Genomic DNA, 27,910 nt, shown 5'->3' with positions numbered 1-27,910 from the left:
TAACTTTAAACACCTAACCTCTGCTGGGCGCCAGACTTTGTAGTGCGCCTGCGCCTTGCCCTTGGCTGCGTGGTTGCCAGGAAACCGCGAAGCCGCGGTCCCTGCCTCTGAGTCTCTCTCGACCATGGCCAAATTCGTCATCGCGGGTGAGTGATCCCCGCGTCCGCCCGCAGATTGCTCAAAACGCCGACAACAGCTCACCTCCCATGGCCGCTCGGCTTGGCAGCCTCTATACGGACCGCTCCATGCTTTGCTATAGATTTATTCAAAGTTTTTTACTGGACCGTGACGGTGCGCCAAGCATTGTGGGACACTGGGGATGCAATGGAGGGAAACATATCCCTGCCTTAGAGGAGCTTTCAGTCTCATGGGGCACAGAACATGTACTTTTGATACGGTGTGATTAACGCGATGAAGGAGACCTGCACAGGCCTCTGGGAGCGTAGACTCCTAATCTGGGTTTGGGGGATGAGGGAGAGGTGGACACAAGGAACTGGCTGGGGAAGGTATTACAGGAGCTGAGTTGTGAAGGTGTGAGCTGAGGAGGCTATTCCAAATAAAAGCAGAGAGGCAGGAAGCTTCCTGGCCTAACAGAAGATCTGGATATGTGGGGCGTGACAGGACCTGGGGCTACAACAGGAGCAGGAGCCAGGTCCTTGCATTTCATGTAGGTCAAGCAAAGGTGTTTGAACTGTATCCTGAAAGCAATGAGGAATTATAGAAAAATTTTAAGCAGGAGAGTAGTCTTAATGAGTTTGCATTTTAGGAAGCCTGTCTTGGCAGCAACGGAGAGAATGATTGAAAGTGCTGGTTGACAGCAAGGACTCAACTGAGAAGGCTTTTATTACAACAATCCATGGTACCTACCTCCTCTCCTCGTAAAGTTTCTTAAAAGAGTAGACTGCTCTTCCATCTCCAGTTCTGCCTTCCAATCAGTCTTGGAAGAAGGCTTCTACTTCTGCTTCCTGACAGAAACTGCTGTCACCAAAGTCACCACTGACTTTTATAGAAGCTGTTTAGTCTTTGACTTATTTGATCTCTTTGATGCATTGAACACAATTGACATCTACCATCCACAGGAGATTTTTTTTTTTTTTTGAGACAGGCTCTCACTTTGTCACCCAGGCTGGATTGCAGTGGTGCAATCGTGGCTCACAGCAGCTTTGACCTCCTGGGCTCAAGCGATCCTCCCACCTCAGCCTCCCAAGTAGCTGGGACTACAGGCATACACCAGCATGCCCAGCTAATTTTTGTATTTTTGTAGAGATGGGGTTTTGTCATGTTGCCCACGCTGGTCTTGAACTCCTACGCTCAAGTGATTTGCCCACCTTGACCTCCCAAAGTGCCAAGATTACAGGCATGCACCACCACACCTGGCCCAGAAGAATATTTTTGAACACTGACTAACCACATGGTGGGAAGTCAGTGGAAAACACACAGAGAATGTTGCATGTATGACACTGACAGGGCAGGGTTCTATAGGAACGATAGCAGGGACCTTACTTAATCAGGTAAGGGTTTCCCAGAGGGAGAGATTTTAAGCAGATACCTGAAAGATGATAATGAATTACCTAACAGAGAAGAGGTAGAAAGGAGGGGAGCAATTTAGGCATGGGTAACTGGGAGTGGGGTTAGAGCAAGGAGAACTAGTTTGGTGACAATTGAGAATATAAAATAAGTATAAAATTGAAATAAGTTTATTAGGACTGAAGCAAATAGTACAAGGAAGAGAATTTCATAAGGTGAGGCTAGAGTTAGATAATGTAGATTCTTTTGAGCCACATTCAGTAGTTTAGACTTTATCCAGAGTACATGAAAGGTTTTTAGAAGGGGAGGAGGGCCTAATCAAATCTGAATTTTATCTGAATGTTACGGCTATAGTGTGGGACAAAAAGACTGGATACCAAGAAACCAGTTAGGAGACTAGTGCTATAGTCCAGGAGGGAGTTGATTGTGACCTGGCCTAGAGTGGCAAACAATGGAGATGGAGAGAAGTGAATGGATTGGAGAGATATTAGGGAGGCAGAATCTATAGAACTGGATGTCTAATTGACTGGAGGAGGGCAGATAAGGGAGAAAAAGGAGTTAAACATTGTTCCCAAGCAGAGGTTTGAATAATTGCAGAGATTAGGAGTCACTGAAAAAAAAAAAAAAGCGGATGAGTAGGTTTAATACTCTGGATACTCTTACTACTCTTAGATAATTAGGGAGATGGACATAATAAATATAAGCGACTAAGCACATTTAGTAGGGGAATGGTGACAAAATACATCATAGACCTTCTGAGTGTCTATGAGACATTTTGAAGGAGATGGGAAAATACAGGAGGGTGTAGGCATCTAGATAAGGAGATCTGAGCTGGAAATATAGATTGCTACTTGAAGCCAAGGGAATGAAGCAGATTGGCCAAAAAGAATATGTAAGTTATAAAGACAAGATGCTTCTCAGAATGATACCTTTTAATGGGTTGATAAAGGAATGGAAACCTACAAAGGATAGAAAGGAGTGACCATAGAATAGGAGAACTGGGAGAATGCCCCCACTATAGCAGTGTTTCAAAAGCCTGGAAGGGGGCAGTGGTGGCAAATGCTGCCAAGGGTCAACAAGAAAAGGATCGGAAAGTATCTGCTGGATTTAGTGGCATGGAAGTCTTCAGTGACCTTCAAGAGAATTGTGGGGTCTGCTACATTGCAGTGGGTGAGAAATAAATGGAAGTGAAGAACTGAGGATGGCAAATATAGGGAACTCTTTCAAGATATTTTGATCAAAAAGGACATACGAAAGGCAATAGCTAGAGGGGGAGATGAGTTTTTTGTCTCTTAGGACAGGAGAAACATAATGTAATGAGTATATTTAAATATGACAGAAAGGGACTATTAGAAACAGATACAAGACTCTAGAAAGAGAGGATAATTAACTAAGCAAGGTTCCTATGAAGGCAGATGAGGATGGGATTCAGAGCATAAGTGGTGGGATTAGATTAGACAGGAGGTAGGACTCCTCTTCCATTGAAATGAAGAAAGGAGGAAAGGATGAGTCCAAGTACAGACAGGCATGTAGATGTGATGGACGAGGTTGGAGATTTTCCAAACTAATGCCATTTTGTTTTGTTTGGGTTGGTTTTTGTAAAGTAAAAAGCAAAGTTGTCTGTTGTGTTCTGATAATGCAGAGGAATGTTGGGGAGAAGGAAAAGATTTGGAGGAAGAGGAAAAAGACTGGAATAGTAATGAGGAGAACAGAAGAGAGTGCTGATAAGGGAAACAGAGGGATCTCCACGCAGGGTTGAGGGCCAATTAAAGCTGGTGACCATGAATTTTAAAGGTGCCCTCCGCTTGGTTCTACAATGTTTCTGTAGTGGTGGCTAGCAGGTAGGACCCAGCTACAGAAAAGGCAAGTAATTGAGTTCATCCAGGATAAGGGGCTTTTATCAGGCTCATTTCCCAAAAGGATAGTGGAGAAAGATAATTTAAGACATGGACCAGAAAGTGGTTTGAAGAGATGAACCATAGATTTGAACTAGACAGGGTGGCTGATAGACAGGGGTAGCTTCAGACAGGTTGGTAACTTAGGAGTTAAGTTATCTTAACTGAGGAAGAATGCTACAGAGAGGGCTCTGCATTTTTCCCCATCCCTCCTGCTCTATCAGATGCCCAATTCCATCTGTTGTAGTGGCTTTAACTTCCTGGGTGTTGATGGCTACAAATTGTGTGTCTGAAACCCTTACATGGCACCTGCACCCCATATATATGTATACATATACATATACATGTACATATACATATACATATATATCCAGCTACTTGCTGATCATATCCACTTAGACACACTACAAGTATCTCCAACTGCACTTGACTAAAGTTAAATTTCTCATTCATGATTTTTCTCTAGTTAAGGTCAGCATCATCTGCCCAAGCCGGAAAATAGAAGTTATCCCAGATTCTTCTTTCCCACCCCCACAACTTCCTGACACACATCAAATCCAAAAGTGACTTTACCACCACTCCTCACTTCAAACTTTACCTTTTGGTGGCCATTAGTGAGTAGTTCATTATCAGTACTAATTCATGCTGAATTAGTAGTAGTTAGCAGCCTCCTAGAGGAAGTGAGGTCTAGCATATTACTAGAAAAGAATAAATATTCAGTAGGGTTTTTTTTCTTTCCACATTTTGTTACTTAAGATTCTGACCTCCTATGAAGTTTATTTTATTTGTATTAATCTAATAAACATCAGAAGTTTATGTAATAGCAGTTTATACTGCAACTTTATGTTATCAAATTATATCATAACTATGACTAATTCTGTAATTACATAGCAAATACTTAGAACTACATAATAATTTCTGCATGATGAAAGAAAACATTGCTAATTTGAACTCTTTTAGGTAGAGCAGATTGTCCATATTATGCTAAAACAGAACTTGTGGCAGACTATTTACAAAAGAATCTTCCTGATTTTCGGATACATAAAATCACACAACGTCCTGAGGTTTGGGAGGTAAGAAGCCTTTATAGTTTGTTGAACTCACTCATGCACAAAATGTGTTTTAATTTGATTAAATATTAACTGGTGTATTAGACTGGCTTCTAGGAATGACTGTTCATGTGCTAGTGATATTTGAATACTAGTAAAACAAGTCCCTACTTACCAGTCTCAAAATAATATTTATGTTTTTTCCCTAATACCTAGTAGAACAAATGAGACCCTAATCAATAAGTAGAATAAGTTTGACTGCACCCCCTGAAGAATCCAGGTAGCTTACACTGCACTTGTTAACTTTTCATTCTCCTTGGTATTGATTTCCAATGACTTATTTGGGATACCCTTCTTTGGGACTCTGTTTCCCCAGAAACAGACTTTGAGATGTAGATTTTGGTGAAGGGGCTTTACTGGGAAGTGGTCTTGGGAACAGCATCCTGAAACGGAATGAGGGTGGCAGGATTGGGTAAAGGGAGAAGTTGAAGTTTGACATAGCTGCAACAGAGGGCTCAGCGGATCCCACAGTGAACTCTTGATGGCCTTTCAGAATTATTCCAAACTGAGGCAAGGTAGCTGAGCTTTTGTGCTCCCTCCTCAACCAGCCATCGGATATCAGCTGCCCCTGGGAAGGAACTTAACCTTAGGCAAGGCAATTTGCTTTGGCTGAAGTCAATTCCTAGAGAGAGAATGGAGTCAGACTTTAAGTTATCAGCCTCTAATACACCAGGTGCCTGGGAGAGTGAGTGCCTCATTTGTGAAGGGGGAACCTGGAGTGTACATGACAGCACTGGCTACAGTTCACCTGTTGTGCCTTTTGGATCCACATGCTCCCTATAATCAGTTCACACCATCTTGGAACAGCTCCTCCAGGATTCTGGTTGCCATCTTTCCCTGGGTAAACTTGATAAGAGAAAGGATAGTCAAATGAACTATAGTCTCCACTGCTCATAGTTTCAGGGCCAAACTGACAGTCATCACCTTTTCTCTCCCTCTCTTCTCTACCATCCATTATAGATTTCCCTCACTCTCTGCTGGTCTGGTCTTCAGCTAAGTTATCTCATCTGCTGGGTTGGTAGTGCTTCTGTTACAATAAATGTTGTCTGGTTGGCACTGCCCACTGGCCTCTATTGTTTCAGGATTTTATCATCTCAATTGCCAGGGAGTTCAGGTGTGTGGCAGCATGTCCTTTAACAGCCTTGGCTACAATCATATGAAAAAATGCTCAACATTACAGGTTATTAGAGAAATGCAAATCAAAACCACAATAAGATTCCATCTCATACCCGTCAGAATGACTATTATTTAAAAGTCAAAAAATAACAGATGCTGGCGAGGTTGTGGAGAAAAAGGAACACTTATAGGCTATTGGTGGAAGCATAGAAAGATAGAAATAACATTCAACCCAAAAATCCCATTACTGTGTATATACCCCTGAAAATATAAATCATTCTTTTATAAAGACACATGCACACATATGTTCATTGCAACACTAGTCACAATAGCAAAGACATGGAATCAACCCAAATGCCTATCAATGATAGACTGGAGAAAGAAAATGTGGTACATATACATCATGAAATACTACACAGCCACGAAAAGGAATGAGATCATGTCCTTTGCAGGGACATGGATGGAGCTGGAGATCATTATCCTTAGCAAAGTAATACAGGAACAGAAAACCAAATACCACATATTCTCACTTAGAAGTGGGGGCTAAATGATAAGAACACGTGGACACAGGGAGGGAAACAACACACACTGGGGCCTATCGGAGGGTGGAGGGTGGGAGGAGGAAGAAGATCACGAGAAATAACTAACGGGCACTAGGCTGAATACCTGGGTGATGAAATAATTTGTAAAACAAACCCCCATGACACAAATTTACCTATGTAACAAAACTGCACTTGTACCCCTGAACTTAAAATAGAAGTTTAAATAAAGAAAAAAAAAAAAAACAAACAGCCTTGGCCTAGAACGGACAGCCACACTGGGCTCCTCAGTGACACCAGGACCCCTCTCACCAGTGCATTCCTTATCACTTAGGTGCATGTTGTATCCTCCAATCCCTTCCAGAGAACATGGTTGAATGGCGGGCTTTCTAGCCTTCCATAGTACCACGTTCACTAGTTTTTTTTTTGTGTGTGTGTGTTTTGAGATGGAGTTTCGCCCTTGTCGCCCAGGCTAGAGTGCAATGGTGCAATCTCGGCTCACTGCAACCTCCGCCTCCCAGGTTCAAGCAATTCTCCTGCCTCAGCCTCCTGAGTAGCTGGGATTATAGGCACCCATCACCACGCCTGGCTAAATTTTGTGTTTTTAGTAGAGATGGAGTTTCACCATGTTGACCAGGCTTGTCTCGAACTCTTGACCTCAGATGTTCCCCCCGCCTCGGCCTCCCAAAGTGCTGGGATTATAGGAGTGAGCCACCACACCTGGCATCACTAGTCTTTTGATCCATTCTTCTACCGTCTTCCATGAAGTCTGGCATTTCTATTTTATTTAATTACTCTCTCCAAGTTTCTAAGAGCCAGTCTGGCAACATGTTGTCCCTGTCTTCTGAGGTCCTTGCCAGGGTATACACTCTTGAATTGCCGAAAAGTGATTCATACTAATAAATTCTCCCTTGTCTAACTTCATGTTCCACTCTTGATTCAGCACTGTAAGGGTCCAGTCTTGTACATGCCCTTGCAGCTCCTGCTGGGACATTAACATGCTTTGCAGGGTGCAGAAGGTTTTTTGGGGTAATGTCTCTTTCCTTCATGGGCCCAGTAGTTCACTGGTCTGGCTATGCTGTGGCTAGAGGGACCGTGTTGGAATCCTCATAGCAGCATTGTTTGCTTTAAGTGAGATAAAGGCAGGCAGATCTTCAATATTAGCAAGGAAATCAGTTTCCAGGATTTTATTGGTAAGGTGGCCTCATTACCCATGCCTCCAATGACGTGGTTTTTAAGACTGCTGCCATGTACTTTGCTGATAAAAATGTTTCTGTTTGACTGTACTCAGATCTTGTCATTGGAAGGCCTAGCCTATATAAATCAGATAATGATAATTTAAATTTTTTCTGATAAATATTGTCGGAAATCTCCAAATAACTTTTAGCTTATTAATTTAGTCTGAACTACATAAACCACACTCACAGATTTTAAAAAAAGTATCAAGTTTTATATGCCCCTAAGACTGGAAATATTGCATGTGTAAAAGAATAAGGGCAAAACTAGTTGAATTTTTTTAAAAATCAGTTGAGTTGGAACATGTGACCTCTCTTTAAGCTAAACACTTGGATTCCAGGTCTCCTCAGCAAAAAGAGCAACTTTCAGTACCTTTATTTGGTCAATTAATTTGAAGAATATGCTTTCTTATCTAATTAATCTGTTACTAACATCACTATTTTCTATATTTACATTTTACTCTTTGAAGATATCTAAATTATATTATGTGTATATAGTGACATTAAAAGCAACCTAGTATTTTAATGTTTGAATTCTAAAGTATGAAATTGAATTCTCAGGCAGATTTAATATATGACTTCACTTGGGATATCATTCAACAGGATTGGCTAAAAGATGTGTGTGAAAAGAATAAGTGGAGTCACAAGAATTCCCCTATCATCTGGAGAGAGCTGTTGGATCGTGGAGGAAAGGGTTTGCTTTTGGGAGGATATAATGAGTTCCTGGAGCATGCTCAGGTATATAAGTTAACTTATCTGTTCTAATAATGATAATTCTCTTACATTATTTTATTTTTCAAATATCTTGCTTTCTGAGACATTCTCTCATGTCTCTTTTTATTGTCTTTTGACTTTAAACAAAAACTTTCCATTATAGCCAATTTCAACTAGTTATCTATTCTCTGATATTGACTTTTTCTCTCCCAATATTTAGCTTTACTATGATGTCACCTCTAGCATGACGACTGAACTGATGATGGTAATTGCTCAAGAGAACCTGGGGGCACATATAGAAAAAGAGCAGGAGGAAGAAGCCCTGAAAACTTGCATCAACCCCTTGCAGGTCTGGATCACCAGGTGGGACAGTCAAATCCCAGGATTCATGAGATTTACTTTTTATATTTAGAAAGGACAATGAGATGGGATTAATTTCATGATGGAAGAATACCTGAATGTCAGGTTTGAAATTTGTGTGTATGTATACTTATATGTATACACATATACATATGCATCTCTGTGTGTGTGTGTTTGTATCCTCCATATAACTCATAAATGAGTTTTATGTTTTATAGACACAAACACAGTCACTTGGTCTAAAAACAACTCTATAGCATGGCTGCTTTGCAGAAGCTCACCCTCTCTGACTGTTGCTCTCTCCCTCTTTCCCACGTGCTAGAGCTTTCTTTGCCTTTTCTCTATGCACCCACTCCCTCTCTGTAACCCCACTCCCCTCGCCTTGCTCCCCTTTGCTTTTCTCCTTCTCATGTGTGCTCCACTTTGCTCCCAGTCTGGGCACATGCAGTCTTTGTTGTCATACTCTCTCTCTTTCTTTCTCTGCACTGTCTCTCTGTCTCTCTTGCTCTCTCTCTCCCTCCCCTTCTCCTTTCCTCACCCCTCAGTTTGTCTTTTGCACTTTTCCTGCTCTTACGTGCATGTGTATCCTAATATATACTCATTTTTAAAATTGTTATTATGAAATATTTTAAATACAGAAAGGAATTGAGAATGATGTAATAAACATCCATGATCCTATAACCCAGATTTAATAACTATCACATCTTCTTTAGATGTTTCAAAGGATTAAATCGGTACAGATACTGTTGAAACCCCCATTATACACCTCCCCAAACCCACTGTGAATACCAGAAATGCCCGGATGCATTTCTGAACTTCCCATGGTGGGCATTACAGTTCACAGCTGATAGTCACAGCTGTAGACAACTGCAGAATTGTGGCTACAGATACACCTTACATAGCCTATGTTGATCCCACCATCTTTGTAAGGATTTTTCTGTGTAAGAATTTGGAAAAGATAGCCCTTTCCAAAAAAAAAAAAAAAGTCATTATTGTGTAGATGAGGTTGTATTTTTTAAAAAAGAGCTATGGCTAACTGAAACTTACATCTTTATCTTTTTAGGAGGAAATATAAACACATAATTACAGTAATATAATAGTTTTTTTATTTTGATTTCTGCATAGGGGGAATTCTGTTTTCTTTGAAAAACCTAATAAACAGGTATATTTCTTATTTGGGGACTGATTTCAGATGGCCAGAGCAAGGGATTGGTAGTGAGAAGTTTTTGTTCTACTTTTGACTTCTAGCCTTAGAATGTCAGGGCAGCTATGTGTGTGCTTATTTAAATATTAAACCACCCTATTGATGCACATGCAGAAATATCTATTAAGAATAAAGGCTTAAAAGGGACAAAGGATATAACTATTCACAATGCGGCTTTGCATTTTTATCAGTGCCTCTGCTCCTGCCTGCTACAACCTAATTCCCATATTGACGAGTGGCGAAGTGTTTGGGATGCATACAGAAATTAGCATAACTCTATTTGACAACAAGCAGGCGGAAGAACATCTCAAAAGCCTTGTGGTGGAGACCCAAGACCTGGCATCTCCCGTCCTGCGCAGTGTCTCCATCTGCACGAAGGTGGAGGAGGCCTTCCGCCAGGCCCACGTCATTGTGGTGCTGGATGACAGCACCAACAAGGAGGTGTTCACTCTGGAGGACTGCCTCCGAAGCAGGGTGCCTCTCTGCAGGCTCTATGGGTACCTGATAGAGAAAAATGCTCATGAGTCTGTCAGAGTCATCGTGGGAGGGAGAACCTTTGTAAACCTGAAGACAGTTTTACTCATGAGATATGCCCCACGCATTGCACACAACATTATTGCTGTGGCGCTGGGGGTGGAAGGTGAAGCGAAAGCCATACTGGCCAGAAAACTGAAGACAGCTCCTTCATGTGAGTGAATGTCTCTTTATGTTTTTGTTTTTATTTTGAAACAACATGATTTCAAAGCAGCTAGGAAGAACACTGTCCCCTCTAGGAACATTCTGAGTATCTGGAATAGGAAGTATAAAACAGACATAAAGAACTTATTGTGTGATTTGACTACTGTGCAAACATTTTTTTTTACTGGCTTTTGTGTCTGGCTTTTTCCATCATTATAAAAATCAATAAATATTTAATAAGATACAATTTATATTATTCAGGTGATAATGTGACACATCGTATTCCATTTTTCCCATGGTAATAGTCAATTAAGATAACCAGTGTTTTAAAAAAAATCAAAACTATGTGCAAGTGGCTCTGCCCTACTTCCCACCCGTATGATCTTGAGCCGTCATTTAGTCTTTCAGTGCGTCAGTTTCCTCATCTGTAAAATGAGGACGTTAACAGTGCCTATCTCCTAGAATTGATGTGGGGATTCAATGAGATGTATTCCTAAAGTGCTAAGAAGAGTGTATGGCACATAATAAACATTTCTAAGGATGTTAAACTTATCAATAGGATTATGATATCTGATCGGTTTCTGCTCCTATTAATCTTTGAATGGTAAATATCAGAATCATAGGAAGATGAGAAGATGAGACTAGATCAGAAAATGGATTGTTGTATTTGAAAAGGGAGATAATATTGGACATATTTTAGCTACTTTTGCCCTTAGATGGAGCAGGTGCAACAGTGTCCATTGAGAAGGGAAGGAGATGACAGGCATTCTCTCAAGCAAAATTGGAAAGACAATGAAATGTGAGCCTAGAATGTTCCCAGTTAGGACAATTAGGCTTCAGTGAACCCCTAACATTATAGCCAGAGCTATATTTTCTTTTTTGTTACAATGAAACTGTAAATAATAATTTCCGGTATTCTTGCATACATATCTTTAGTATTTTATCCCCACAGTCACTACAACACTCAACCAAATTGATGCTAAAATTATTCAGAAGGAAATGAAAACTTTTTTCTATTTTATCTCTGTCATCAACCTTATAATTATATGTGTAGACAGTGACTTATCTCAGAAAGTCTATGATACACTACTGAAAAGTATCAAGAAGAATCTAAAACAAGGTGTATGTGTGGGTGGGGTGTGGGGTTGAGGGGGGTTGGGGGCTTTCAGCCAGAAAGCTGCTGTCTTGTGGGTCTGCTGGTGCCATGACTCTAAGCTCCACTCTACTCAAATCCAATAAGCATGTGAGAAGCAGAAAAAAGAAAAATGGAGGAAAGTTGGTAAAAGGAAAAAGGCATTAGAGGGACAGAGTCCAAGTAGAATTGTCAGTGAGGCAGCAAAGAGACAGCCAGCAATGACCAAAGTTGAGCAAAACATCATGAAAGAGAAAAACCACCAAGGAAATGATTCAGGGATTATTCTAGATGCCAAGAGGGTGGCAAACCTTTTCAGAAAAGCAAGATTCATGATAACCCCTAAGTTCAGTTCATAAATCACTATTTATCAGACCATGTGTATTGGCTCGTCAGGACTCCTTCTGTTGCAAAAAAGTCAACTCACGGTGACTGAAGTCACCAGGTACCATGGCTCACACCTGTAATTCCAGCTACTTGGGAGGCTGAGGCGGGAGGATCACTTAAGCACAGGAGTTTGAGGCTGCAAGTGAGCCATGAGGCTGCAGTGAGCCTGGCCAACAGAGAAGGACCTTGACTCAAAAAAATACAAAGTGATTGAAGTCAAGTAGAGAACTTTTTTCCCCACATAACTGAAAAACACAGGAGGTAGTTCTTATTTCAGACATAGCTGGATGCTGGGGCTCAAACGGTGGTGCCAGGACATACCTGTGCTCTCTCTGCTGGCCTATCCCTCTGCTCTGCTCTCTGTGTTGATCTTCTCAGTTCAGCCCTAAAAGGTGGCAGAATGGTCACTGGCATCCCAGACTCACATGCTTGTAGTTTACGTACCCCAGGAGAATGAGGGCTTTCTTTCCCAATTGTTTGTGCAAAAAGGAATACAAACTCCTCGTCCAGGCTTGGACTGCATGCCCATCTCTAAATCAATCATCATGGCCAGGGGCAGGGGGTGGGTGGGTGGAATCTGCATCTAATGCCTATAGGTGGACCTAAGGCGTGAGGACAGTCCCACCCGACAGATAGGGACTGACACTGGAGAAGGAGTAGTTATTTAAAGAAGAATCAGGATGCTCTTAATGAAAAAAAAAAAAAAAGGAGGAGGGGAAATTCATGCCAAGAGGGAAGAAAGCAGATGTCCACTATCATTCTCTGTAGCATAATTTGGGATGTTTAGAGCTATCAAGGGCCTCAAAGCTGATAAGAAAAATGAAACCCAGCACAATTAAAAGGGTTCTTTAGGCTGTAGGAAGGAAGCCTACCATATGCTTACCTGGCCCAAGAATTATTTTCCCCATGTGGGATCCTATGAGCTCCAAACCCTGACTCCCACCCTCCCCACCCTCCTACAACCTGCAGCTGAGGGACCCGGGAGCACATCACTAACTCCCCTGAGAGTTGGGTGGTGGAGGGAGAACTAGCTATTCCTACTGCAGGAATCATTCCGATGGGGGCGGGAATCTCACAGGACAAAGGTAGACAGTGATGGTGGGCTACCGAAAATCTGTTTCCTGCTCTCTTCTGCTAGCCTCTCTCTACTATAGAGGCTCAAACAATCATCCCTTTTCTTAGCTTCATTGCAACTAGGAGTGGTTGAGTGATATAGTCTATTTGGGGTCCCCTGGGAAGAATATTTCACTTTTTGAAAAGAGAAAAGGCAAAAGAGGAAGCTTCTACCCCATCCTTTTCCCTATTGCCTGCCCTTGAACACAACTGTGTTAGGGTAATACTTGAACACAACTGTGTGACAGAGGGTGATAGTTGGAGCTGCTGCAGCCATTTTATGATCATGAGGGGAAGGCCAAGAGAATCACATCTCTGAGCTGCTGAACCAGCACATGTCACTGCCTACCATGAATTACCTGAGAAAAGTAGTCCTTCTAGTTAAGACAAGTCAGTAGGATATTCTGTTAGTTGAAGACAAAAGCAATCTTATACAGGAGAAGAGGGAAGAAGTTAATCTCCACAGTAAGAAGTGGTGTGGACTTAAAAGTGATTAAGTTTTTAGGCAAATAAGTTAAATAAGTAAATAAAATTATTTATTTAAAGTTTTCATACAACATTCCTAGACAGTTAACAATGATAAAATCATATTGAATGCCAATGCCTATTTCTCTCTAACCACTATGGTCTTATTTTACTTCTTAGCATGTATCGCTTTGTATAATAGTTGTTTTCTCATCCACTTCCCACCACCCCTAGAATGTTGTAAGGATTTGGGCTGATTTGTTTTCTTCTAAACCTGGTACCTAGAGGTGTCTCACACATAGAATAGAATTCATAACTATTTGTTGACTAAGATGTTGCCCAGGGTCCTCTTACAATATCCTCATTTTGCCAGAGATGAAACCCATCAGAGAGTTAAATGATTTGCCCTAATTTCTATTCTAGTCTAGAACAAGAACTCCTTGTGAAAAACCAAAGCATATTAAAAAGTCCTTTCTCCCTCACCTCTCTTGACCTCTCACTCACTCTCTCTCCACCTCTCTCTCTCTCAATGGTAAGCAAAGTCAGGACAAACACCAGTGAAATAATTTTCAGTAGCAGTTTCTTTCAAGGAACATTTCATTATTTCTTTAATTTAATTATACACCATACCATTCATAGAACATTATTAGGGACTGCCAAACTATGACAGTTAGGGAGGTGATCCACACAATTTGCACAATTTTAGGAATCATAAACCTAGATTCATTTTATACCAAAAAGACCAATCCTAAAACAAACATGCACGCAAACAAAAAATAGGCTTCAGGCAATTTTTTATATTAACATACATTATTATTATTTTTCTAAACTTTCTATTCTTCACAGACATTAAAGACGTGATCATTTGGGGTAATATCAGTGGAAATAATTACGTTGATCTGAGAAAAACAAGGGTGTACAGATATGAGAGTGCCATTTGGGGACCTCTTCATTATTCACGCCCTGTTTTAAACTTGATTTTTGACAGGTACAGTATATTTTGAAGTGAAGCATACTGACAATGTTAAAATAAATGTTTAATGGTTGTAATCTTTTAAATCATCTCATAAATCTTTGTACAAAAATAACTTGCATTGTTCACACTCATATTTGTTCATGCTGTCTACTGAAGAAACAGAAAATTCCACAGAATATCAACTAGGTAATTGATTTGATTTTGAAATTATGAATTTTTATATTTCAGATCCTTCAGTAGTTCATATATTCAAGTAAGGTTATCTCTAAAGCAAGCATGTATAAGGGAATCTTACTTCGTGTAAAGACAGAGCTATCTATCCAGGTTGAAATTAATTGAAACGTTTTCAAGAAAGGAGTTAAGACGATGAGCAGGCACAGGCCAGGCTGGGCATTCTGTGGCAGGAGGCCGAAGCAAGAGGTGGTGAGGAACACAGTCCTAGGACCAAGCCACCCAGGCTGGGATTCTCACTTAGCCACTTAGTAGCTGTGTGACCTTAGTAGCTGTGTGACCATCATGTTACCATTTCCACTTTGCAGATGAAAAACTGAGTTACAGAGAGGCTAAGCAGCCTCTCTGTAACTCAGTTTTTCATCTGCAAAGTGGAAATGGTAACATGATAAGGGTCCTCCCTATAGGGTCTTGGGGAAGATAAAATGGATTACTCCCAATAAAGGACTTAGGGCTGTGTCTGTACAATAAGCACTAGCAATTATGATGAGGCAGAGGAGAAGCAGGAAGGAGCACCTCTGAAGCATTTTTTCTAAACTTTGCAGCACTTTCCCAGTTGTAGGATTTTCTTTCCATTGCCCTTTGCTTTCCTTTTCTTCCTCAGACCATAGGAGCTTCGCCCCTGCCTAGGGATGATGTGTCCCGAGTTCACTATTTTGAAGCATGATTCCTCTGCATTTGCTGCGTGGGCAGGACCAGTGTTGCATAGAGCTGTGTCGTGCAGGGTTAGCAGAAGCTAACCAGCTGGACTATTCTCTGAATTTAGACTTCAGATCATAAAAACATAATTATTTTCCTAATTCTCAACGTGAATCCAGCTTGAACACCCCAATCCAAAAATCAGAAATCTGAAATGCACCAAAAACTGAAACTTTTTGAGCACCAACATGATGCCACAAGTGGAAAATTCTACATTCGGCACCTTTGCTTTCTGATGGTTTAATTTACACAATCTTTGCTTTGTGCACAAAATTATTAAACATGTTGTATAAAATTACCTTCAGGCTATGTGTATAAGGTGTATGTGAAACATAAATGAACTTTGTGTTTAGACCTGAGTTCCATCCTCATGATATTTCATTGTGTATATGCAAATATTCCAAAATCTGGAACACTCTGGTCCTAAGCATTTAGGCTAAGGGATACGCAACCTGTAATTCAATGTTTAATGAAATTATTTTGTTTAATATGTAGGGTACTACTGGTTCCAAGGTAGAGTCTACACAGGATCAATTCTTTGTAATGAAAATAATGGTTCTTGCCATTTTCAGCCACTTTTCTATGTTCCATATTTATAGTATCATATTTTTAGTTTGACATCTTGGGACTCCTTTCTACTACATTTCACTATTTTTCAATTGACTTTTTATGGGGATCAAAGACACTTGAGGAAAGACACTAGAAATAAAGCTGTATTTCTATTTTGACTGTGGATTAGGTTTCTGATACTTAGTTCCACTGAGCCAGGGAACATCCTTTTTCTCTTTAATTCCTCTCTCCATTGTAAAATTGTTTCTTTCTCTCCTTACAGTGAGTGGGTAAAAAGAGAATTTGTGGCAATTCTTAAAAACTTGACCACCACAGGAAGACAATTTGGAGGCATTTTGGCTGCACACAGTATAGCCACTACACTGAAATACTGGTACCATGGCTCACCACCTGGGGAGATTGTATCTTTAGGAATATTGAGTGAAGGTAAATCTGGGTTTTTCATATCTTGTAAAATCTTAAAACCTCTATCTATAACTCGTGCTCCTAATTCTGTGTCCCCACCCATCTAGCTCTTAACATGGTCCATTAGCTGCCTGGACTTTTACAATTTCATACTCATTCATTCATTCAATTACTCATTCAGAAAGTCAACAATATTTTGTATGGATGCATTGGAAATACACATAGGAGTTAAGACCTGGCCTCTGCCTTCAGGAAACCTACAGTGGAATAAACAAGAGCCAGATACATAAACAAAATCATGTTGTTAGGTTTTCCTAGCAATAGATAAAGGGAAAGCAAGGTCAATTCTAGGCAGGAAGCAGGTGGAACCAGGACAGGCTTCATAAAGAAGGTGACACTACAGTAAGCCTAAAGTATGAGGAGCTTTGACCTGGAAGACAAGTGTGGAAAGAACACTGGGCACAGGGAACCATAGGAGCACAGACACAAAGGCAGGATAGAGAGAGGCACTTCAGGACCCAGATCTCAGGGTACCAGGCAGCGCTGGGAATGTGGAAAGGTTGCTCTCCATCCACGAATACTGCATATAAACTTTTACAGCCCTAATGTTTTAATCCGCTAAAAACTATGCAGAAGAATTCTACATTTTTGTTTGTTTGCTTGAGATGGAGTCTTGCTGTGACGCTCAGGCTGGGGTGCAATGGCACCATCTCAGCTCACTGCAACCCCCTCCTTCTGGGTTCAAGTGATTCTCCTGCCCCAGCCTCCCGAGTAGCTGGGACCACAGGCGCATGCCACTATGCCCAGCTAATTTTTGTATTTTTAGTAGAGATGGGGTTTCACCATGTTGGCCAGAATGGTCTCGATCTCCTGACCTTGTGATCTACCTGCCTTGGCCTCCCAAAGTGCTGGGGTTACAGGCCTGAGCCACCACGCCCGGCTGACTTCTACCATTTTTACAAAACAGGAAAGAGAATAGCTGCTGTTCTGTCATCTGTAAGGTCTATCTGAAGCATCTCTTCCCTTTGGGTTCTACTTTCTCCCTTAGCAAGCTAATTCACTCCCAGAGCTGCAGACCTGGACCTCTCTGCCGAGCTCTAGCTTCTGAAACATTGTCACCTGGATGTCATGTCATCACTTCCATCCAACATATACCAGACTGAATGTACTGTCATCCTTCCCAATTGGTTCCATCTCTTGTATTCTTTATGTTATAAGTAGAACCACCATCTTCCCTATTGTTTCAGTGACGCCAGTACAGGTTAAGGAAATCTCCCCAAATCCCCCATGTCAGAATTAATCTCTGTCTCTCCTCCGTATCCCCACATAGCATTTTGTTCGCCTATCACGGAGAATATTATAGTGTGCCTGTTTTTGATAGTATGATTAGTTGCATTGTCCCCTTCCTTGTGGCACCCTGAGGGCAAAGGCTTTTTCTGGGCCACCTCTTTGCTTCTTCACAGGAGAAGCATTTTATATGGTAGACACTCAATCAATCTTGTTCAATTGAAGTTAAGGTGCATGAACATTGCCATAATGTGAATTCAGATCAGCAAATTATCTCCTTAGGGAAATAGGCACTTAAAACCTTACCTTTATTTGTAGAAAGAAAGTTTAATTAATCTCTGTAGGAATTGTATTCAAAAATAAACAATGCAGTACTTGGGGGAGGAGGGTAAATGATCATTATCTGTCTCTCTGAAACCATACCAAATAGGTAAACCCTCAGACCTTGTCTGCCCATAAGGCTAGCTCTTCACAGATTAAACAAAATACAGCATTACTTGAGGACCTGGGAAGCCCTCTAAGGAAAAGTCTTTTAGATCTTGGTTTCTCGAATGTCCTCAATGTTTTGTTGTTGTTGTTGTTGTTGTTTGTTTTTTTGCCCTGGTGATATTTTTGTTGTCTAGTATGGCAGAAATAATTTTCTTATGTGATCGAGGCACCAGAAACGGGGACAATTTTGTCTGAATGGTGCTCAGTTAGTAATAAATATGGTCAATCTTTTTATTTAGAGCACATCCAAATATAAGTATTTCTGTATATCTTAAAGAAATTAAATGTGTTATTAAATGAAGGATGGCTTCTGCTTAAGACATAGAAATATGTAAAGGAAATCATCCCCCATGAAGCAAACGCACACCAAAACACATGGCAAACTGGGGGCTGCAAAGGAATAACCAAATTTCCTGCCTCCCCTCCTTTCCCTTCCCAATTCTTCATACTCTGGCTGTGTGAGTGCTGTAGCAGGTGAGAAGAGTGGAAGGCCAGATGGACAAATGACTTAGGCTCATGGGCTGCATAGGGGTCCAGGGAAAAGCCATGCAGACAGACAAAAAGAATACAGACAGGGTTCAAAAGAGAAAGACTGCATTAGCCTCTGGATGTCAGATAAATACAGATGGCAGAATTGTTAGAACTTGGATAGTCGCTCAGTCAATCCTTCTAGAGGGAGTGTTTCAGTCCTCTTTGGAGAAGAATTCCGAGAAATTTAATTCCATCATTATCATTAAAAATCCTATACTATGTCTGTCATTTTCTACAATGCTTAACAGAAAAGGTGCATGTTTCTAAGTTCTGCTGCATTGCTTTGCTTTGTGTTTGCTCACTGCAGGCCAGTTTGGTATTCCGAAAGGGATCGTCTTTTCTATGCCTGTGAAATTTGAGAATGGAACTTGGGTGGTTCTTACAGATCTCAAAGATGTTGAAATAAGTGAACAAATAATGACCCGAATGACAAGTGATCTAATTCAGGTAATGTCAGAATAGATGCAAGGGGACTGACCTTGATAATGACCTTAAACTGATTCTCCTAGGCCAAGGCATACATTGGTTTTTCTATGGATTCAAATTTTTTTTTAATTCTTAAAAATAATGAGATAATAAAAGTTTGAAAAAAATCAGTGAAGGAACACTACTCATTTAGTTATACAATTTCTGGTATGTTAAAAATATTTGTTCGTTATTTAAAAATGAAGAATCAAGGTGTTTTTCTATTAAAGAATAGTTAAGTTGCCGGGTGCAGTGGCTCATGCCTGTAATACTTTGGGAGGTCGAGGTGGGTGGATCACCTGAGGTCGGGAGTTTGCGACCAGCCTGACCAACATGGAGAAACCCTGTCTCTATTAAAAATAGAAAAATTAGCTGGGCATGGTGGCACATGCCTATAATCCCAGCTACTCGGGAGGCTGAGGCAGGAGAATCGCTTGAACCAAGAAGGGAGAGGTTGTGGTGAGCTGAGATTGCGCCACTGCACTCCAGCCTGGGCAACAAGAGTGAAACTCTGTCTCAAAAAAAAAAAAAAAAAAAAGAAGAATTAAGTTAGGAATTGTGGTCATTTAATTCTGTGATTATAAAATTTCAACAGGAGAAACTTGTTGCACTTGGAGACAAGATACATTTTCAGCCATACCAATCAGGTAAGCTCTTAGACGTGATGTTTTATTGGACTGCTATTAAAAGAGTATTAAAATATTTGTTATAACTGAATCACTGTTAATATGAATAACTCTCATTTATATTTTGTCATTTCTAAACTAATGACAAAATAAACTGTTAAGTTCAATGTGTCCTTTGAAATAAAACATCTCATAAGAATGTTAAAGAAAACACAACTTATGAACACTATGATCTTATAAATGTTGTAGGTAACATATTTATTAATTTCCTAGGACTACCATAACAAATTACCACAAAGTGGATGGCTTAAAAACAACAGAAATTTACTTGTTCACAGCTCAGGAGACTAGAAGACCTGATGTGAGGTATCAGCAGGGCCACACTCTCTCTGAAGGCTTGAGAAAGAATTCCTTCTTGCTTTTTCTAGCTTTGGGTTGCACTGCTTGCATTCCTGGCTTGTTGCTGCATCACTCCAACCTGTGCTTCCCTCTTCACATGTCCATCTTTCCTCTGTGTGTGTCTGTGTTTCTAAGTCTCTCTTTCTCTCTAAGGATACCAGTCATTGCATTCAAGACCTGCCCTAAACCAGTCTGAACCCATCTTAAATTGATTATATCCACCAAGACTCCATTTCCCATAAGATCACATTCATAGGTACCAGGCGTTAGGACTTCAACATATATATATATATTTTATTTATTTATTTATTTATTTATTTAGACAGAGTCTTGCTCTGTTGCCCAGACTGAAGTGCAGTGGTGCCATCTCGGCTCACCACAAGCCCCGCCTCCCAGGTACGAGCGATTCTCCTGTCTCAGCCTCCTGATTAGCTGGAACTACAGGTGCACACCACCATGCCTGGCTAATTTTTGTATTTTTAGTAGAGACGAGGTTTCACTATGTTGGCCGGGCTGGTCTCAAACTGCTGACCTCGTGATCCACCCACCTCAGCCTCCCAAAGTGATGAGATTACAGGCATGAGCCACCATGCCTGGCCAACTTCAGCATATCTTTTTGGAAACACAATTCAACTCACAACACCAGATTTATTTTTAGATAACTTTATTAAAAGCCAACAAATTTCAAGAAGCTTATTTTTCTTATTGGTATTTTCTCCACTCATAAGAAATAGGGGAGGGCTGACATCTTTTCTTTGCCTTAAAGATGATCTCATCTTAGGTATGGATATATACATGTAGAAATAAATCAATTTATTTATGCAAAGGGCTTTAGTCAAGTGTCTTTTGGAGCCCAATATTCCTTCCTTCTGCTAATGTGTGTGCAGTACCAACTATAAGCCAGTGCTAGGAGCTGGAAATACAGAGGTGAATGAGATAGACCTGATCTTGCCCTCTGGGAACCTGCAGTCCATCAAGAGGCTGGCCACACATTATATAGATGACTGCAACTGTGGTGCGTGGGAGGAGTAAATGTTGGCTGCTGTGCTGTCAGAGCTCATGCCTGCGGATAGAAGGGAAGAATCTGAAGCAGGAAAGTACATATCAACTTGTTTGGAAAAACTGTGGAAAAGCTCATGTGGCCAAAGCCAGAAGAGATGGAGCTGAGAGATACAGCCATGAGGAGTAGATGTGAGAGCTACAGAAGATTTCTAGATGGAGAGAACCTGGTCAGTTGTGGGATTAGTTTGAAAAACATCCTGGAATAAGGCAAGGCTGTTTGCAGAAAGACTGGTATTGAGGGGGAGTGCATACAGCCAAGACCAGAGGCAGTAGAAATTTGAGAGATATTTAGGATGTGGAAATATCAAGAATTGCTGATGAATCTGATTGGCTTTGGTGAATCCCAGGGTTCTTCTGGCTGAACAACTGGGCAGATTTACTATTGATAAGGGGAAAATGGTAAAAGAATGAGAGAGAGAGAGAAAATATGAGAATGTGGGAGGGGTGTGTGTGTGCATGCACGCCTGTGGATGGAAGAGGAAGAAGCATGGTGCCAGATTAGAAAAAGCATGAGTTTCATTTCTTACATTTTGATTCTGAAATACCTGTGTGATATCTAAAATGGAAATGTCACATGGAGAACTGCATACTTCCTGGAGCTCAGAAAGATCTGGACTACAGTTGCCAAATGGGGAGTTGTTGCCTCATAAATAGAAATGAAGCTATCAGTATGGTGGAGATTGTCTAGAGAGAAGGTAAGAGAAAAAAGCCTGGAGGAACTTAGCCTGTCATGGTTAAGTAGAACAGGAGCAACTGACAGAGGACCATGAGAAAGGGGTGGTCAGAGAGTCAGGATAAGTCCCTGGAATCTGATGATGTAAAAGACCTGAAGGCAGAGGGTGTTTCAAGAACAAGGACTGTTCTACACTGTCAGATGCTACTGGTGTGTCAGATAAAATGATACCTGAAAAATACCCAATGGATGTATGACAAAGGTCATTTGTGACTTTAATGAGAGCAATTTTGTGCAATGGAGAGGGCAGAAATGAGACCAGAGTAGAAAGCTTCCTGAGCTGCAACATTAAACGCCAAGTCCCTACTTAGTAGGCCCAAGTCAATAAATTCAGCCTGATCCAACTCTGTGTTCCTTCAACTATTATCCCATACCCTTAATATCCATTCCCATACCTGTTCTCCAGATTTCTGTTTATATAAATTAGAGACATCGGCTGGGCGTGGTGGCTCACACCTGTAATCCCAGCACTTTGGGAGGCCGAGGTGGGCAGATCACAAAGTCAGGAGATCGAGACCATCCTGGCTAACATGGTGAAACCCTGTCTCTACTAAAAATACAAAAACAAAATTAGCCAGGCATGGTGGCAGGCACCTGTAGTCCCAGCTACTTGGGAGGCTGAGGCAGGAGAATGACGTGAACCCAGGAGGTGGAGCTTGAGCTGAGATTGCACCACTGCACTCCAGCCTGGATGACAGAATGAGACTCTGTCTCAAAAAAAAAAAAAAAAAAAAAAATAGAGACATCAAGCAGCTCTTTTTGAGTGTAGCACACTTCTTCATGGGTCATACTCTCAACCTCACCTCTAGAGGCCCACCAAGACTTTAGTCTAGTTATAGGTCTAGAAGCAAACAAGGGTGTTAGGGGTGGCTACTGAGGAGAATCAACATTTTCCCTGGCAACTGCCTCAGGGGAGGCCGTCACTCTTGCCTCAGGCAGCACAGGGTTTATCTCCTCAGACAAAGGTGGAAAGGCTGATGACAGCATGGGTCAGGGAGGGGATGTTGCCACTACTGGGTATGGGGAAGCTGTTCCATCTGGCAAAAAAGGTTCATCAGAGTTTACAAACTCAGTGTCCCCAGCTTCATCAGGGTTCTCCCACACGTCTCCATTCCAAGTTGCAGCATCCCATTCTTTTCCAATTAATGCCCTCACTTTAACAGGAGACACCTGGCAAGGCTGTGCATACACTTTTCGTTGCAGTTCAACCACTCACATAATAAGAGCTTGTGTCTGTTTTTCCACAATTTCAGCTCTTTCTCTACAGGAGATAAGACTCACTCAGGGCAATCTTTGCAGATTTGAGGCTCAGTATCTGCCAGGAGACAGAATCTCTGAGTTCATCATTTTCTTTCATCACTTTGTCCACTGAACTTAGGAGCAGCTAACCAGCTTCATTATGTTCCTTTGTTCACCACATATGGTCAAAGGTATTATGTATAGAGTCACTAAACTCCCTGCCTCTCATGGGCAGTGAATCAGGAGTGTCAAATTCATTTATTTTGCATAACTCATTAAACAGTTCATGCCAAGGACTATCAGTGTTCTCCATACTATTAAAAGTAGAGTCCTTAGGTCCTTAGCATTTGGAGGTCGAATCATACTAAGCAGCCAACTCCAGAAACCCGAAAACCAACAAAAGAACTCCATCCTTAATATTTTGTTTCTCTAGAACCACTCCTGGTACCAAAATCTGTATAGTCAAGGTTCCGTAGAGGGACAGAACTAATAGGATACTTATGTATAAATAAAGGGGAATTTATTGAGTATTAAGTTACACAATCACAGGGTCCCACAATGGGCTGTCTGCAAGCTTGAGGAGCAAGGAGAGCCAGTCTGAGTCTCAAAATTGAAAAACTTGGAGTCCAATGTTTGAGGGCAGGAAGCATCCAGCATGGGAGAAAAATGTAGGCTAGGAGGCTAGGCAATTCTCACCTTTTCACATTTTTCTTCCTGCTTTATATTTGCTGGCAGCTGATTAGATTGTGCCCACCAGATTAAGGGTGGGTCTGTCTTCCCCAGCCCACTGACTCAAATGTTAATTTCCTTTGGCAACACCCTCACAGACACACCCAGGATCAATACTTTGCATCCTTCAATCCAATCAAGTTGGCACTCGGTATTAACCATCACAATTAGAAAAAGATAAGTATTATTTCATGTATTTTTTTGTTTCATTAATATGTACACAAATGTACACATTGGACTATAATGTAAAATGTGTCTTTTATTGTGGGTCATAGTCACTGAAGTTTGAAAAACATTGACTCAGAACATCTCATGACCTAGTTAGGTTGTTGGTTATATTCTAAATCCAGCATGTTTTATTTAATTTTGATTTCAGGACATAAAGATCTGGTCCCTGATGAAGAAAAAAATCTAGCTATGTCAGATGGTAAGTCAGTGGGGTTATAAACAATGTCTATATTGCTAATAGTCGTGACTCATATTGTCCAGTTGTTAGAGAATAATGTTATGGTCTAGCGACCAAAGCAAGTTTTAAATAACTGCTTCTTTTCATATGCTTCACAAACACTTTGAAATGGGCATAAAAATGTCAACTTTTTTTTAAAAAGCACTAAAACTGCTTCCTTGTCATATTCACCTCAAACTCTCCCAAAATACTCTAACTTCAGCTCCAGTCCCTTGTATCTCTTGCTTCTCACCTTTCCCTTTTCTTCTCAATTCTCTATTATGAAGCCCAAAATAACCAATAGGGCAAGATAGCATCTTCCTCAGAACACAGGTGAGAGGAAAAGACCGAGAGAACCAAGTTAGAATTCTCCTTAACAGGGAAAATCTGGGATTTTTTGTCTCATTATGTGTATATATATCTCATCATATATATAATTTATAATGTATTACATAAATACACACACATATGCTGTTGACCCTTGAACAGCATGGGTTTGAACTGTGCAGGTCCACTTATGCAGATTTTCTTCCACCTCTGCCATCCCTAAGACAGCAAGACCAATGCCTCCTCTTCCTCCTGCTCCTCCCCAGCCTAGTCAACATAAAGAAAATGAGGATAAAGAACCTTATGATGATCCATTTCCACTTAATGAATAGTAAATATATTTTCTCTTCCTTATGATTTTCTTAATAACATTTTCTTTTCTCTAGCTCACTTTATTGTTAGAATGCAGTATGTGATACATATAACATACAAAATATATGTTAATCAACTGTTATTGGCAAGACTTCTGGTCAACAGTGGGCTATTAGTTAAGTTTTGGGGGAGTCAAAAGTTACGTGTAGATTACTGATCACACAGAGGAATGGTGTCCGTAACCTCCACATTGTTCAGGGGTCAACTGTATACATATAATGTGAGTGCTTGCAAATATTTATGTAGAGAATTGTATTTTTTCTAAAGCTGCCTATACAAACCATATATCAAAAAAATAATAATTTAGTCTGTTTCCATTTTTATGGCTTCATCTGAAACTATCTATTTAGAAGGAAGCTAGCAATCATTGAGAAGTTGCCCAGTGGTTTATGGGGGCCAGGGAAGGAGGCTTCATAGGGATGTTGGTAGAAAGATGCTATACTGAGCAGTTGACTGAACATCTGCTTGTTCATATTGTCCACTCAGGACATAGATAAGTCATCATCAATGGTTGAGACTTTATATAACAGTGGTCTAGCATCTTGTAACTCCTAGGAGAGCAATGCATTCAGAGAAACCTCAGAGTGGAAGGAACAAGATAGAAGAAAATGGAAATAACTGCAAAAATTATTGCGCTTTACATACTAAAAACTATTCTTTTAACTCTATTTGCAGCAGCAGAGTTTCCAAATCAGATTCCTCAAACCACCTTTGAAAAGCCACAGAGTCTTGAGTTCCTAAATGGTAGGTGGTAGACAAAACATTAACTAGTATTTTCTTATTCTACAAGTGGAACTGGGTAATAGAGGATCAAATTTCCTTGCAATACTATTCTTGTCAAACCCTCCCCACTTCCCACATTCCCCAGGGACCCAGCCTTGGTTGCTTACTCTCCTGGATCCCAGCGTCCCACTTTTTTTTTTTAAGACAAGGTCTGCTCTGTTGCCCAGGCTGAAGTGCAGTGGTGCGGTTACAGCTCACTGCAACCTCAGCCTCCTAGATTTGTGCCCCTCCCAACTCAGCCCCTGAAGTAGCTGGGACCACAGGCATGCATCACCACTCCCAACTAATTTTTAATTTTTTTTGTAGATCTAGGGTCTCACAATGTTTCCCAGGCTGGTCTCAAACTCCTGGGCCCAAGTGACCATCCACTTTGGCCTTCCAAAGTGCTAGAATTACAGGCGTGAGCCACCGTGCCTGGCCTGCTTCCCACTTTTGCAACCAAATCCTTAAATCCTTCATTAAATCCTTCCCTCAAGATGAATAAGTAAGGAAATTGACACAAGTAATCTGCATGTCCAGATTTCCCAAGTATATAACTGAGTTGAAAACAAAGCTGACGTAGATTTCTTTGTGGTTGACCAATCAGGATATTCACCCAAGCCCCCACCCTTTTATTTAAATGTCCAATAAAATGAACAAAATTTCATGCACCTTTCATTCTGAAATGTATGGTATGATGGACTTAGGAATGGGGCTAATCAGGGGGAATTAGAATTGGTACATAGAGGAGCAGCAAAGTCGAGCAGAAATGGAGCTGACAACATAGCTGCATACATAATTTGGAATGAAAAGCAAGGTGACAGGAGAGAGCACATAAAAATAGCTTGTGGCCAGGGAAGAGGCCACAATTAGTTTTGCTATATGAAAATACCTAACTATGATCTCATGGCTTTATTTCCCCATAGAATCACTCTCACACATGCACTTTCTCAGCTATTGAATCATGAATACAGGAATCCAGCAAACAAAAAAGCTAATAATAACATATGCTACTAACATATTTTGGAAATAGTTATGTCTTTTCATTCTTTTCCTTTTACAGAATTTGAAGGCAAAACCGTGGAATCCTAACAGATCAAATTGGATGAAATATATAATTACTTGATAGCACAATAAACATAGAAAGAATTTATATGAATGTCTATATTTAAGGAAGAATAATTTGAAAGATTTATGTCAGTCTTAGATAATACCATGCAAGGCAATTAAATCACTGTGACAGCACAGAGGTCAGAGTTCCGTCATTTTGCATTACTTGTATCCACTCATGTTTGTTTCATAATAATTGCATTTTCTTAGAACTATTTTGGTGTCAAATGCTATTTTTTATATTACATTAAAATAGAGTTGTCAGTCATTGCATCTGCCCATACATCTTCTGAGAGAACCTGCTTCCTTCCATCAGCCATACCTAAGACCTGCACCTAAGTGGCCATGTTTGCTCAAATGTCCTCATCACCTTGGCCTCAACTAATTAGGCCAAACAGATGTACTTCACTCAAGGAGAACCAATCATATTTTCTCTCTGTCTCTCAAAAAAAAATTGAACTGAGACCAGTGAGTAAGTTGGTGTCTGGGTCAGGTTAATGGTGGTGAACTATGTGCCTGTGAGCTCTTCAGAGCTGGTTGGGTTCACCACCTTCATAAGACCTGCCTCTGTACCATTTTTCCTTGAGTGTGCTTTGTATAAAGGTCTGTACAATAAATCACACTTTTTTAAAGCTTAGATTGAATAGGTTTCTGCTCCTTGACAAGAGATATGGCCTGAATAAAATGAATTTTGAAAGAAAAGCCTAATATTTTTACTATATAATTGCATGGTTTAAGTAAAAATTACAGTCTTTTATTAAAGCAGTAATAGCCAAACCAGTATGCTGAGATATTTTCCAGCTAATAAGGCCCTTTACCAATGCCAATTAGGAACTTTTGAAAGCCCAGGAGTCATGTGAAGAACTGCTGATATCTGTGCTTTCTCTGTATGTTTAATAGCTCTTAAGATACAAATCACTTTCTGAAAATTCAGGGAAATTGTAGCTGCATCTTCTGCATTGCTTCTGCACCATCATAA

General features: G+C 40.6%; 1 protein-coding gene across 12 annotated transcripts, besides 1 other annotated feature; it reads left to right on the top strand.

Moving 5' to 3' along the window:
- Positions 68-27,633, top strand: MDH1B (malate dehydrogenase 1B). 12 transcript variants are annotated; one of them, NR_138467.2, is made up of 13 exons: positions 68-146; positions 4,383-4,495; positions 8,025-8,159; positions 8,356-8,498; positions 9,891-10,387; positions 14,321-14,462; positions 16,213-16,376; positions 18,970-19,109; positions 19,723-19,774; positions 20,027-20,119; positions 24,014-24,342; positions 25,735-25,803; positions 26,885-27,633. NR_138467.2 is itself a non-coding variant. In NM_001330224.2 (12 exons), exons 5-12 carry the CDS (start codon positions 9,952-9,954, stop codon positions 26,911-26,913), a joined length of 1,083 nt encoding a protein of 360 aa, NP_001317153.1. In that variant the 5' UTR covers positions 68-146; positions 4,383-4,495; positions 8,025-8,159; positions 8,356-8,484; positions 9,891-9,951; the 3' UTR covers positions 26,914-27,633. The 12 variants fall into 12 exon arrangements, 8 of the variants coding, with proteins under 8 accessions (NP_001317153.1, NP_001269869.1, NP_001034934.1 ...); NR_138468.2 differs by lacking the exon at positions 4,383-4,495; XR_922861.3 differs by lacking the exon at positions 26,885-27,633 and having other exon boundaries at positions 25,738-25,762.
- Positions 150-289: an enhancer, noted in NCBI's record as "active region_17027". NCBI's record gives its function as "activates an Ori minimal core promoter by ATAC-STARR-seq in GM12878 lymphoblastoid cells {active_cell/tissue: GM12878}" and the evidence as "EXISTENCE:reporter gene assay evidence [ECO:0000049][PMID:35858748]".
- Positions 27,634-27,910: the final 277 nt, after the last annotated feature.

This window comes from Homo sapiens, chromosome 2 (assembly GCF_000001405.40).
Source record: "Homo sapiens chromosome 2, GRCh38.p14 Primary Assembly".
Classification (NCBI taxonomy): domain Eukaryota; kingdom Metazoa; phylum Chordata; class Mammalia; order Primates; family Hominidae; genus Homo; species Homo sapiens.
Note: the sequence above shows the minus strand (reverse complement) of the source record. Positions and strands in the feature narration are given on the sequence as shown.